At 34.0% G+C, this 13594-nt stretch overlaps 1 long non-coding RNA gene across 2 annotated transcripts in view, besides 1 other annotated feature; it reads right to left on the bottom strand.

Annotated features, from left to right (window-relative positions):
• LINC02161 (long intergenic non-protein coding RNA 2161) overlaps positions 1-13594 on the bottom strand; it is a 213063-nt gene that overhangs the window by 74972 nt on the left and 124497 nt on the right. The window lies entirely within an intron of this gene.
• Positions 11200-11259: a silencer, noted in NCBI's record as "silent region_16166". NCBI's record gives its function as "represses an Ori minimal core promoter by ATAC-STARR-seq in GM12878 lymphoblastoid cells {active_cell/tissue: GM12878}" and the evidence as "EXISTENCE:reporter gene assay evidence [ECO:0000049][PMID:35858748]".

Raw genomic sequence — 13594 nt, 5'->3', positions numbered from 1 at the left:
ATCTTAAAATATATTATCTAGTACTTCTAGAACAATGTTAAACAATTGAATAATAGTGATAGCAATCAGCATCCTTATTTATTGTTACTGAATTTAATGGGCATGCTTCTAATATTTCACATTGTCATGGATTTTGCTTTCAGATACATATCAAACACATTATAAAGGTGTAATAATACATTTAATTAAGAATTATAAAAATCAAGATTAGAAGTTAATTTTTACCAAACACTGTATTATTTACATAGATTATCATATGCTTTTATCTTTTCACTTTCTAATCTTTTAAAATACAATAATAAGCTTTATATGAAGATTATTTTTCTTCACATTTCATGAACAAATCTTAATTTTGTGTTATCCTTTCAATATGCTGGGGGTTTTCATTATTTCTGTTGTTTTTCACACGAAAGTAGTTTGGAGCTGTGATTTTTTTTTTCTCACTTTTCTCAAAAGGTAATTTTCTAGATTTTAGATATTAATTTTATATTGCTTCTTTAATGGATGAGTTTGGAAGCTACATGTTTCTATATTTTCTGGAATATTTATAATAGTTTTGGATTATCTCTTCCTTAAAAGTTGGTTAGAATTCAGCACTGAAACCCTTTTGTTTAGGAAGGGTTTACTTATTTAGGAATAGGGATAAAGATTTTTCTTAGTATTTCCCCAATGAAAATTTGAAAATTTTTCCTTATCTGATTTAACTTTTATGTTTCTCTAGGACCAACTTTGTAATTTCTGTTATCATAAGAAATAATTTATTCTATGCAGACTTTCAAATTTACCTTCAGAGTATATTTTCTCATTTCCACTTCATCTGTACTTACTAACATATTCTATTTTTTTCAGTTTTACTCATGATATGTGTTTCCTTATCTTATTTTTCCAAAATCAGTTTATATGTACACACATACACAAACACACTAGTAAACACATATATGTGTTTAGCTTTATATGTAGTTATATATAATATATGTGCTTTCTCCCTATATTGTTTTTAATATTAGTTACATATAAAGTAATATATGAATATATTTTTTATATTTAGTTATATATGATACATATTTATGTGCACGTGCATCAACCATTTTGTGAATTTATTTTTTTACTCTTTTTGTGTCAACTTTTATTTTAGAATCAGTGGGTACATGTGCGGTTTTGTTACAAAGGTACATTGTATGATGCTGAGATTTGGCTGAGGACTTTTTTTTTTTTAACTCTTTTCCTCCTTTTTTTATCCCATTTACTAATTTTTTGCTTTTATCACTAGCAATTTCTTTCTTTGGCATTTCTTAATTTTTGTGTTCTCATTACTTTTTAAATTGCCTTAGCAGAATATTTACTTCATCCTTCATTGTTTATACAGGTAATTATTAAAATCTAAAATTTTATTTTGATCATAATCTTAGTCAATTTGTATAGGTCTTTTTTTTTTTAGATATTTTACACTTTGGTTTGGCTTCTTCTTTTTAACTTAGGAGCTGCTGAACATAGAACTTCTGTCTTTTAACAGTTGGTATTTTGTTTTTTTCCCTTTTGTGTTATTCATTTTGTAGTGCATTTTAAGCAGAGAATTTCTCTAAATTAGTTTCTTTTCAAAAAATAAAGTAAACATCTTTATAATGTTTTGGGTATGGAGTTTGATGTATTTTATTATTATACACACTTATTTGGTCTATTTAACCATACGAGTTGAAAAATATAAGTTAAAAACAGTCTACTATTGTTTATTTTTCTATTATAGTATGCAGACTTTGCTTTTGGGATATTCATTTGATTATTTTCACTATTGTTATCATTATTGATGTTATTATTACTACTATACTATTATTACTAATATATAAATCTTGAATTTGTTTTATCTTTAGAGTGTTATATATGTATTATATACACACACATACAATGTGTCTTTACACATTATAAAGTATTAAAGTGTCAACTTTAACTCCTTTAATATTCTTTTTTTCACAATTTCAACTCTAATATCAATGTTATAAATTTTACTTTATTTTTTGTTAGCATCTTCCCAATATGTCTTTGCCTATCCATTTCTTTTATTACTTTAAAGCCACATTATTTTAAAAGTTTACTTAGATTCACTATAGAATTGGGGTTTGTTGCTAATCAAAGTATCTTTTATTCTTAATATTTTATTGTATTTACTTTTACTAATGTAAGAAATATGATTGATGTTAGAACTACAATCTTTTTATATTTCTTGTGTTCTTGTTTTCAATGTTTTGTTGAATAGTTCGTATTTTATTGTGCTTTCTTCTTTATTTTTTTTCTTGAGATTTGGAATGCTTTTTGATTTTAAAGTTATTCTTGTAAGTTTTAATATATTAAAACTGTTTCTTAATTTATTAACTTTAGGAAAACTTATTGAATCTCCACATCAAAAGATAAGCAATTAGCTCAATTAGTTACTAAGTGTACATAGTAATAATTTTTGTTAGTCTCACCTTCCAATATATCATATTAGTATTTTGGTTGATTTTATGATTACTTATAACTTTCATCTTTAAAACTGATTTGACAGAAGGAGATAGTATCATATTGAGGTCTCACCTGGAAAATGATTGTACATTCACTTCATGTGTTTCCCTTTCTCTTACTCTCTCTCCCAGTCTTCTTGTATCATATGAACTGACAAGTGATAATAATAGTACCCACATTTCTTCATCATTAGTTCTTTTACATAAATTGAATCACTGCTCACCATCATTACATTCTATTTCAAGTGCTCTATTGCTGATCTTTATTTTGATTCATCTCTATCAAGTCAGATATTGTGATTAAAGTGGTTGGATATCGTTCTCAAAAGTGTTCATAAGGATTGCATAGCCTGGGCTCTATGAAATATCTGTCTGTGACCTTAATTACTGAAAGATAATTTAAAGGGGAATAAAATATTTTGGCCACCTTTTATTTCCCTCAGCTATCCACTGTTTATTATTTTTTAATCTCTAATGGGTTATTGTGATTAGGTTTCTTTTATCCATGAAATCAAATATTTATTCAGGATAATTTATAACAACAAATTCCAAATTATAAAAAGTCAACTGTAGCGTATACTGTCAGTGACCCAGCTACATCTTTTCCCACTCACTGTTCCAGTACATGTCTCAGGTTTTCATTGCAAGTACCTGCAACTATCCTCCCAAGATCCATGCATGGGGAATGTGGGGTAGAACTGTGAGGGAGTTATGCCTGGAAGCCAGCCATAGGATTGTTTCTTTATACTCAAAGTCTAGTAACTGCTCTAGGATATATATGCTGTTGGTTGATCCATATCATTTTTTTCCTAAGACAGAATATATAATTCTAATATACAAATTCAGGTCTTTATTATTTCAGTGTTTCATATACCTTATTCACAGACTTTATGTTCTTTTCCTCAGAAATATGAGATAGATATGAATATGCACATGTATACACTCATATATGTATCTATAGAATTTAGTTTCTCTATATCTTATTTTATATCTAAACATTTATTTTTCCCCATGTAATTATTCTCTTATTTCTTTAAGTTGGACTTTCATAGCCCTAGTTGTGTTTTCTATGTTGTCCCCATTGTGTTTCTTTTCATATATCTTTTATTACAAAATGGTTTTATCTTCAACTTCCATTTCTATTTTTAGCATTATTAACTTGCTTTTAATTTTTTCCTGCCTTTTTTTTTTTTTTTTTTTTTTTTTGCTTTTTTCCTAGATGGTGTATATCTCTTCCCTGAATTCTTTAAAAAATACAGCAAAGACAGTTTTCTTCAGGCCACGATGGAGAAGGGGCTCTTCAAGACTCTCTACTCTCCTCTGTTGTTATTATAATCTGATACCTAAGCCCATGTTGGTCTCCTGATTATTATTCCCTGCTAAATGGGGGCAGCCCTCTTCAGTACAGCTATTTAGTCACAAATTATGTATAAAGGGGAAAGAGACTTGGTGAACTAGGGTGCTTCAATTTGAACATTTTCTCGTAAGTTCTGCTGTGACTTCTGACCCATTTGAATAACTCTACAGAGGGATCCAGGATTTTTCCGTTTTTTTGTTGAACAAAATATCCGCATGGTTCCTGGTAATGCTCAATACAAAATGTCTGTGTGGTAATGAGCTTGCTCATACAAAGGAAATAATCTCAGATGGAAGAAGCATGGTGTGGTGGTTACAGACACAGACTTTAGGACCAGGTAGATTTCCTGGGTTAAATCTTAACTTCATCACTACTAAGCTACATGCTATTGAACAAGTGGCTTTTCCTCTCTGAGCTTCTCATCAGTATCTACCTTACAGACTTTTTTTGTTGTTGTTGAATGTCAATAACATAATGTGATTAGAGTACTCAGTACATAGTAAGCACTCAGAGTTACCTAAGACTATTATTGTGAGACAGTGCACCGAAGTGGTGAAGATTTCAGGTTCCCTGAAGGCAGACTGCTTGGGTTCAGAGCCTACTTCTGCCACTTACTAGCTGAATGACACTGTGTGATTTACTTAATCTCTCTGAGCTGTGATTTTTTCATGTGCATGAAGAGTATAATATTAATACCTACTTCATGGAGTTTTGAGAAGGCTTGAGAACAGGATCTGGCATATAGTAGGAGTTCATTCACTTTATTGTTAATTGTTAACACTTTGCCCCATAGGAAAGCTTACTTTGACATACAGCCAAAGTATATTTTAATCTTTATCTACTCAAGAGCATAAAATAATGCCTGAACGTATATGCCTCAAGGTGTTTATGACTTGTGAGCATTTATTTAGCCCCATATTCAACATAGTAATAGCTTAGTGGATGCTTCTAAAATGAATACATGGATGAATAGAAGAAGTAATGAGACATTGGTACCAAGGCCTTCCTCTTTGTTTTTCAGTGTGGAAGAAAATATTGAGCTCAATTTAACAAGCTCTTCTATTTGTTGATCTTCACTCCTTTACCCTTTCTTTGCATTCCTTGGCTTTAGTCATCTTTTTCTTTTTATTTCAACAGTACAAGTTACCTACAAGAATATAGTATGAATTGATATAAATTTGAAGTCCTTTGAAATCCAATAGAAAGATTATCCTATCTTGCCTGAGACCAAGGCTCTAATTCAGCTTTAATACTGTTGAGGATTACTTTAATTATAGCGATCTAACTGGCCTAGATGGCTCATATGGCTCACAATGTTTATTTAAAACATTAGCTCAATATGGAGAACTTTTAGTTTTAGTTTTTCTACTTTATCTGACTCATCTTCATTTGTTTGCAGTCACTGAAAACCATGAAAGTTAATTTTCATCTATAAGTAGTAGACCTGCTTCATTTCTCCAGCTGCAATAGAATGACCAGTCTCACTGTATAATTTTTGTTTAATCAGTTTACACCAGTTATTATTTTTATTATTGTTTTTATTACTATTCACTGAGTGCTAAAAACCTATTCAATACTGTAAAGTACATAAATCAACTGTATTTCCTGCACTGGCAGCTGTTATACTTGATGCTTTTTCTGATACTGCAGAAAAAGAAAATTAAAAAATCATGTGAGAACACAATCGATGGAGGTCATCTAGGGTTAATACTGTTTCTTTTTTTTTTTTTTTTTTTTTTGACAGAGTTTCACTCTTGTTGCCCAGGCTGGAGTGCAATGGCATCCTCTTGGCTCACCACAATCTCCGCCTTCCGGGTTCAAACAATTCTCCTGCCTCAGCCTCCTGAGTAGCTGGGATTACAGGCATGCACCAGCATGCCCAGCTAATTTTGTATTTTTAATAGAGTTGGGGTTTCTCCATGTTGGTCAGGCTGGTCTCAAACTCCCAACCTCAGGTGATCCAACCTCCCTGGCCTCCCAAAATGCTGGGATTACAGGCGTGAGCCACCAAGCCCCGCCTACTATTTCATTCTTGATTCATTCATTAGTGTTATTACTAAGTTTCTTGTACTACATTAAGTTGTTTGAGAAATTTAAAAATGTAAAGGGCAGATTTCTTTCCTAGAAATATTTACAATTTAATTTAGAAGACCAAACATATGCATAAATATGACTAGGGAAAACTTACCAGGTATTATGTATTAGTCAGGAAATATGTATTGAGCTTCTACAAAATGCTAGGTATGAAGAGAGAAGCTCAGAATACAAAGATGGTTAAGAAATGGTCTCTGATTTTAAAAAGCAAAAAGTTTGATTAGGAATGAAATATCATATTGCTACCCCTAAAATCTGATTTTCATTGCAAAGTTACTATGTGTGCATTACTTTTGTACGTGCATTTCACATGTTAACAAACATAATTTTCACAATAATTCTATGGGGTACATATTAAAGTCATTATTATTTTACAGGTGATGAAACCAAGGCACAGAATGCTAAACTATCTTGCTCCAGGTCATCTAGTTGGTATATACAGACTAATGAAATCAGAGTGAAGGTGAGATATAGTGGGATAAGCACTAGGAAAACCTATTTAGAAAGAGCTAAAATTTCAGCAAAATCTCAAATGAATAAGAAAGAACTTTCAAATAGGAGAAAGGTCAGAAGTTAATGTACAGCACAGGCGTCAAGAGAAATGGAAAGTTTCAGGAATAAAGCGACAGAAGACTTGGTCCTGAACAAGATTTTATAGAAATCATGAATGAAATGCCTTTGAGAAGTCAGAAAGAAATGCTGAGTTAGACAAACTGAGTAAGATAACCTCCTCCATCCTCTGGAGTTTTCCCAGCTTATTTTGGAGAAAATTGAGTTGAATATCCCTTTAACATTTGAGAATTAACATGACACACCTAAAAGCTCTCTTGTTTTCTTAGTGTCCAATAGTGCTACAGAATCATTGTTCAGTTAGAACATTCTTTTCAGACCGTCACTCTTTATAATGTAGATAATACAAGAAAGAATACAGAATCAAGCCGTTATCTCTATTAACACTTAGTGCCCATTAACTCATTTGTGAGTTCATTGAATCACTTAAGTTATCAGATTAGTGACAGAATGCAAAGCAGGACAAGTGATTTTAATGGAAGTGAGAGCATTTTGCAGGATTCCTAAATCACGGGACACTAGAGAGGCATTGGGAACAAAAGGCCTTGAGGGTGAATCATACCAACTTTGCTAGTTTGCCTAGAACAGACCCAGACAAAGCTGTAAGGACAGATCTTTCAGTAATGCAAGTAATTAAATAATTAGTAGGGCAGAAAGTGAAAAAGGTGTATTTTCCCTCTTCAGTTTTTTTCCTTTCTTTCTTTCTCTCTTTCTTCCTTCCTTCCTTCTTTCCTTCCTTTCCTTCCTTCTCTCTTTCTTTCTCTTTCTTTGTTTCTTTGTTTCTTTCTCTCTCTCTTTCTTTCATCGTTTTGCAGTGGTATGCAGGAACAGCTAACAATTTATGAGGGCCAATAGTTAAATTTTCAAAAAATGTGAGAGCCAGTTTATAAACTCTTGTTTTATTGAAGTTTACTATGGTGAAAGTATTTACACCATGGAAATTGGCACATTTAACAAGTCAACCTTCTCCCATTCCCTTACCCCTCCACCACTACCCCCACATATACCTCCTTCATAGTAGAGTCGAAGCCCAGGAAGGAACTTTCCAAGACATGAGGTTCAACCAGCACACCATGTGCTTCAAATGAAAATCTTCCTTCATTGTGGAAAGAGAAAGTAGAGCTGCTCTATGAAGATGAAGAAAGCATATATTCCTTCCTTATCATTCCTTGGAATCAAATAAGGAAACACAAATAACTTGACTTAATATTTTTAGTTTCTTGCTTTTTTTAAGAACAAAAGATACCATGGAGCCTGTGATTTATAAAAAGAAGAATGTACGATATACAGAAAGGAGCAAAGGTGATTGGTAGTACCGTAGGAGACCAGTGGGGAGAGATTTTGAAAGTTTAGACTTTGAGGAGTGTTATTGATTCAATGGTTTATACAACAACAGTGACTGAGGCAATTTAAATTATATCTCCTTGCAAAATAGTTGCTTCTCCACTCTTCACTTTACCCCTTATTCTTCCAACTCTTATTCTTCCTTTGTTACTTTTTTTTTTTTTCTGAGATGGGGTTTCGCTCTTGTTGCCCAGGCTGGAGTGCAATGGAGCAATCTCGTCTCACAGCAACCTCTTGCCTCCCAGGTTCAAGCCATTCTCCTGTCTCAGCCTCCAGAGTAGCTGGGATTAGAAGCATGTGCCACCACCCCCCGGCTAATTTTGTATTTTTAGTAGAGACGGGGTTTCTCCATGTTGGTCAAGTGGGTCTCGAACTCCGGACCTCAGGTGATCCACCCGCCTCGGCCTCCCAAAGTGCTGGGATTACAGGCCCTAAGCCACCGCGCCCAGCCCCTCCTTTGTTACTGTTTTTTTTTTTTTTTTTTTTTTTTTTTGGAGCTGTTTTAGACTGGAGAATATCAGTGGGAAAGGAAAGGTTTATAAAAGACCTGTGAGAATAAAAGCAGAGTGTTGGCAGGGGAAAAGGTGGTGGTGGAAAAAATGCACCAAGACCTTCTAACATAGTATTAGTAAATAGCCTTGACATTTTCAACTTGAGAGGAATGAAGTCACTTAAGCAGATGGGGGGAAATAAAAGTTAGATGAAACTATAAAGTATTCCAGTTACAAAACTGAAAGAAACTATTAGTGGCACTTCTCCTCTCATTTAAACAGCATGAATAAGACTCATTCAAAAATAAATTCTTATCCTGCAAGCTGTTTGTGGAGTCAAGGAACCTATCTCATGCAGGTGTTCCATGTGTGAAATGCCAAAACAGATAATAGAAGCTCCAAACACACCATATTGGAGTTATAGGGAACCCTAAGCCCAAAGACACCATAAGAAAAATAAGAGGTTTTCTAAACAAAAGTATGTTTGTGCTTTAGTGCTGCTTAAAATGATTCCATTTGTTTTAATCAGTTATATTTTTTGTGCCATAAATTTCATATGTATACTAATTATACCAGTAAAATTTGGGTTTAACATTGCAAAGAGAGAACTTGTGGGCTCTGTGAGAAGATATAGCTTTTCCTAAAGGATACAAACTCAACTTCAGGTCATTACAAGTAAAATTTACTGTAGAAATTATTTGCAGAATAGCTTGAGGGCTTCATTTGGCATGCGCATGCATGCAGAGCTCCTGTAGAAGTTATGGAAACTTATAGCTCTATAAATGCCAGCTGTTGAAGGCAGGCTGCTCATAATCTGAGCTGAGGAGGAAAGAAAATGTAGATACAAAGGAGGAAAATAAATGTTTAGGAGCAAAGAGAAACAGCAGGCTACACACTTGGTGCACACAAGACTATGGGAAAAACAGGCTGGATATTTCTTGGGAGATAAGGGGGAAAAAGGAAGAACAGTGATTAAAAATGTCACTGCTGCCAAAGTAGGCTTGGAGGCCCAGGGAACTTCATTTGTATATTTGTCAGATCAATCTCAGTCATTGGTGGTTTTGCAACCATTGTTGTGTATATTATAAATACAATATACACATTTGTTAATACATATATATACATGTAAATAATATATGTATACAATATGTACATGTCTATGCACACAATAAATATATACCTATACACACAAGTAAATATATATGCATATATAAAATGGAACATAAATAGGATAGAAAAGACATGTAAAAACTGCCTTTGAGAAACTTGTAGTTTAATTGAGCATATAAGACATGATACACAGCGAATAATTGCACTATCATACATGTATTTCCCATTTGTTATTCAAACCACTTCAACTTTGGTCCTTCCCTACATGCCATTGAAACAGCTCTCCCTGAATTTGCAGCCAAAAATAATATACTTTTTAAAGTTCTCTTTAAAACCTTTAGCATTGCAACATTCAACTGATCTGCAACATTTAACCTTGACCCCTCTTCACATTTTGAAACTTTTCTTTTCTTAGCATTCAATTCACATTCTCTCTCGATTTCCTTTATCTCTCTGGACACATTCAGTCTCCTTCACGACCTTTTCATCCTTTGCTGGTCTGTTAAAAGGTGGTGTTCCCCCAGAAGTCTATTTCTGTAACTCTTCATCATCTGGGTGATTTCACCTGTATCCATGGTTTCACCATCACATAGATGTTGATGATTGAAATTCAGCCTAGAACTTGGTGTTTATATATAACCACCTACAAAATACCCCCTTGGCTATCTTATGCCACTTCAGGAGCATCACGTTCAAAATTGAATTTCTCATTTTTCAGAGCCTTCAATAAACATGCTCCTCTTCTTCCCTCTCTCAGTTGGTGACACCTCCATTCTCTTGAATCATACCCGACTCTATCTACTACCTTGTCATCCCCTACAACGAATCCCCAGGAAATTCTGTCAATTATAATTCCCAAATTACTTTTCCATCAAACATCTTTTCTTCATCAGGCTTCTTATTTTATAGTTTGCTTTTTCCAACAGCCTTATAAGTGATGTTCCTCTTTTCAAAATTCTCCAAATAATTTCTAGACTCATGTGTGTTAAATATGTCTGATTTTGATCCTCCTTTTGAAAATGCTTCAATTTCTTCTAATCATCTTGAGATAAAGCCCTAAATTTTTGAGTGTGGCATGATAAACCATTTTGTAACCTGTCCTCTGCCCACCTATGCAGCCCCATAACTCCACACTTCCTTTTGCCCCTTTAACAGGATAACTCTGGTTGTCTTCAGATTTTGGCTCATGTGCTACTTTTTGCAGGCAATTCTCTTTGAGGTTCTTCCAATATGTCCTCATACAGCACTTGAGGGTGGCCTCTACCACAGTGCTTGAGTCCAATGTATTATATTAATTGTTTTTTTTCTTCTTTATCTTTCCCACTGAGTTTGGGAGCATCTAGAAAACAAAGACTATTTCTCATTTGTCTTCGTGTCATTAATATGGGATAAAATCCAGTACATAGCAATGTCTAGTGAACAAATGTTTTGTTAATGACTGAATTCCTGGCTAAATGGTGCTAAGTCTGTTAGGAATTGCACTTGGATAAGGAAAATGAAATTTCCTCTTTCCCACCCCAGCAAAATCTTAGTGGATTAGACTAATATGTATTTTATTTCTCTTTCACGTAAAAGAAGTTCATGGATATTTATTATGCATTGGTGTGGCAGCCCCACAATTATCAGGTCCAGTATCTTTAGTCTTTCTCCTCCATGATTAGTACATGGTTTTCACACTCAAGGTCATTTTGTGATCCAGCATAGCTACTGGATTTCCTGCCTTCCTGTCTGTATTACAGACTAGAAGAAAGAGGAACCGGGGAGAGAGCAAAATACAGCAATGCTTATCTGTCTGAGTCAGGTCACTTTAAGGAACTCTATGAAAACTCAACATAGTCCTTATGCCTACTTCTTATTGATTGCCACTATCTGCCAGGCAAGTTGGAAAATACAATTATTTAGCTGGGCATATTTCCTCTTGGAATAAAATTAGCATCTGTTAGTACAGAAGGAAGAAAGTAGATTTTTAGTAGGTAAATTTTAATATTGACATGAGTGTCAAAATCAATTGTACCAGTGATCAATTCTATAGGAGTCCTGAAAATAACCAAATGGTTAAAGTGTCTTTGCAGAAAGGACAGGGACATGCCTGTAAATGAATTCTGAAGGATAGCAAAAAGATTTGAGTAGGCTTGAGCACAGAATTGGTTTTAGGAGCAGGAAAACACCATAAAGCTTAAAATTATAGATCAAAGATTGTAGGTTAGGGGTATTTATTTTTTGCTGTTGGTCTTTTCTCTGCCATATACTGGACTCCTTAAGAATAGAGACTGTAGCCTAATTATTTTATTTCTCCACTAGATTACTTAGCACCTGATTGATACCCAGTAAGTGCTCAGTGAATTACATTCCAGAAGTGATGTTGTGGATGGGCTAGAAAACATGTTTAAATAAATTTTTTGAACACATAGAACAAGTTGGACTTTTTTTTTCCATGCATGACTGGAGGCATTGAAAAATTTTAAGATGAATAATACAATAAAAATGATGTTTTCAGGGAACCAATTTCATGATAAAGGTGCTAGAAAGGGACATGAAGAATATTTCAGAAGTTCAGTTTGAATAAGTAAGAAATTTAAATAGAAGGGAAGCAAAAACAGGGAATGGTTCCAGAAATTATTTGATAGCAATTGTTATCCTTGTCCCCTGGTGTTACTTTTTCTCTTTCTCTGTTTTACTTTTCTGTCTATATATTATCACTTTCTCATATACTATAAAACATACTTAATTCTTAAAATACTCTGTTTTGGGGGCAATAAGATAGATTAGATACATACATACATATGAGAATTTTATTAGTTGAAAAACTGAGCTTATCTAGCCATTTTGCTATACTGCAGCTTGTAGGATGTAAGAGGAAACTGACCCAAAGTGAAATTCCTATAATGCTTCAACCAGAGTGAGAACAGCCTCAGGAATCCCATCTTTCCTAATACCTACCTCACAAAGGATGTACTCAGGAAGAGTTGGAAGCAGAGAGAAGAAAGAGAGAGTTAGGAGAAACATTCAATACAGCTACGCTTCTTCACACAGATCATCCTCAGAAGTCTACTTATTGAAAGTCAGTTGTGAATTGGTTTGTTGGATTACAATGCTGGTGAAATGTTAGAGAGTTAGAGAGACAGATCTGGAGATGAGAAATAAATTCACAGCTGGAAATACAGATTTAAAAATTATTATTGTTTATTAAAGTTGTGAAGTGGGAGCAGCTCTACAGGAAAGATAATGTACAGTGATATAAACAAAAGGCAAAACAATAGCTACTAAAGATGGGATTTCAGATGATAATGATCAATGATGTTTGCAACCATAAAACATTCTGCCTTAGGAAGAAATGTATCTTGAAGCAAAGCTTAACGTGCAGACTTTTCCTCTTCCTCTCCTCTCCTATAGTCAGAGGAAGCAGGTGCTATTAAGCCAGGACAGACTCTAGGTCTGCCTCTGTTTACATTTGACCCCAGACTCTAGTTCGGGTGTGGGAACGAGATGAGGCTTTTATTTTATTTTCAATATGTGGGTCCAAGTTGCTTTTTATATTGTGTATGTGTATTACCTTTCTTAAATGAACTAAATGTAAAACCATAGAAAAGGCAATGTTGATTATGTAGCCCTGACTACTGCCATATGAAGTTTTTAGATACCTAAAGCAGTGGGTTTTTGAGATATTACCTTGCAGCAAGCAGACTTCTGAGGATGATCTGAGTGAGGGAGCGTGGCTCTATTGAATCTGTTTCTCTTAACCCTCTTTCCTCTCTCTGCTTCTGGAACATCCTTGTTTCCCAGATTTTCCCACATTTAATTCCGATTTAAGAAAAAGTCATTCTCTCATTATCTGGTAAAGTAGCCAGGCATAGGAACTCTGAAAGCAAGTTCTGGCAGAGCTTTATTTGCTTTCTGCCTCTGTTTACATTTGACCCCAGTTTTATCTGCAGAAATTATTTATGAACCTCTTTTTTCCCCTTCTTGCTTGTGAAGCAGCTCTTGGGTCTGCAAGCCATAGAGTAGTGTGCTCATCATGCATATATTTAGCACCCTAATCTCTGCAACCAGTTTTAGCTGCTTGTTATATTTTTCTTGACATTTTCTTGTATGCTTTTTGACATCTGCTTGCAAACTTCTGCAGCCTTTTCAAT

The sequence above is a fragment of the Homo sapiens genome, chromosome 5, assembly GCF_000001405.40.
Source record: "Homo sapiens chromosome 5, GRCh38.p14 Primary Assembly".
Taxonomy (NCBI): Eukaryota; Metazoa; Chordata; class Mammalia; order Primates; family Hominidae; genus Homo; species Homo sapiens.
Note: the sequence above shows the minus strand (reverse complement) of the source record. Positions and strands in the feature narration are given on the sequence as shown.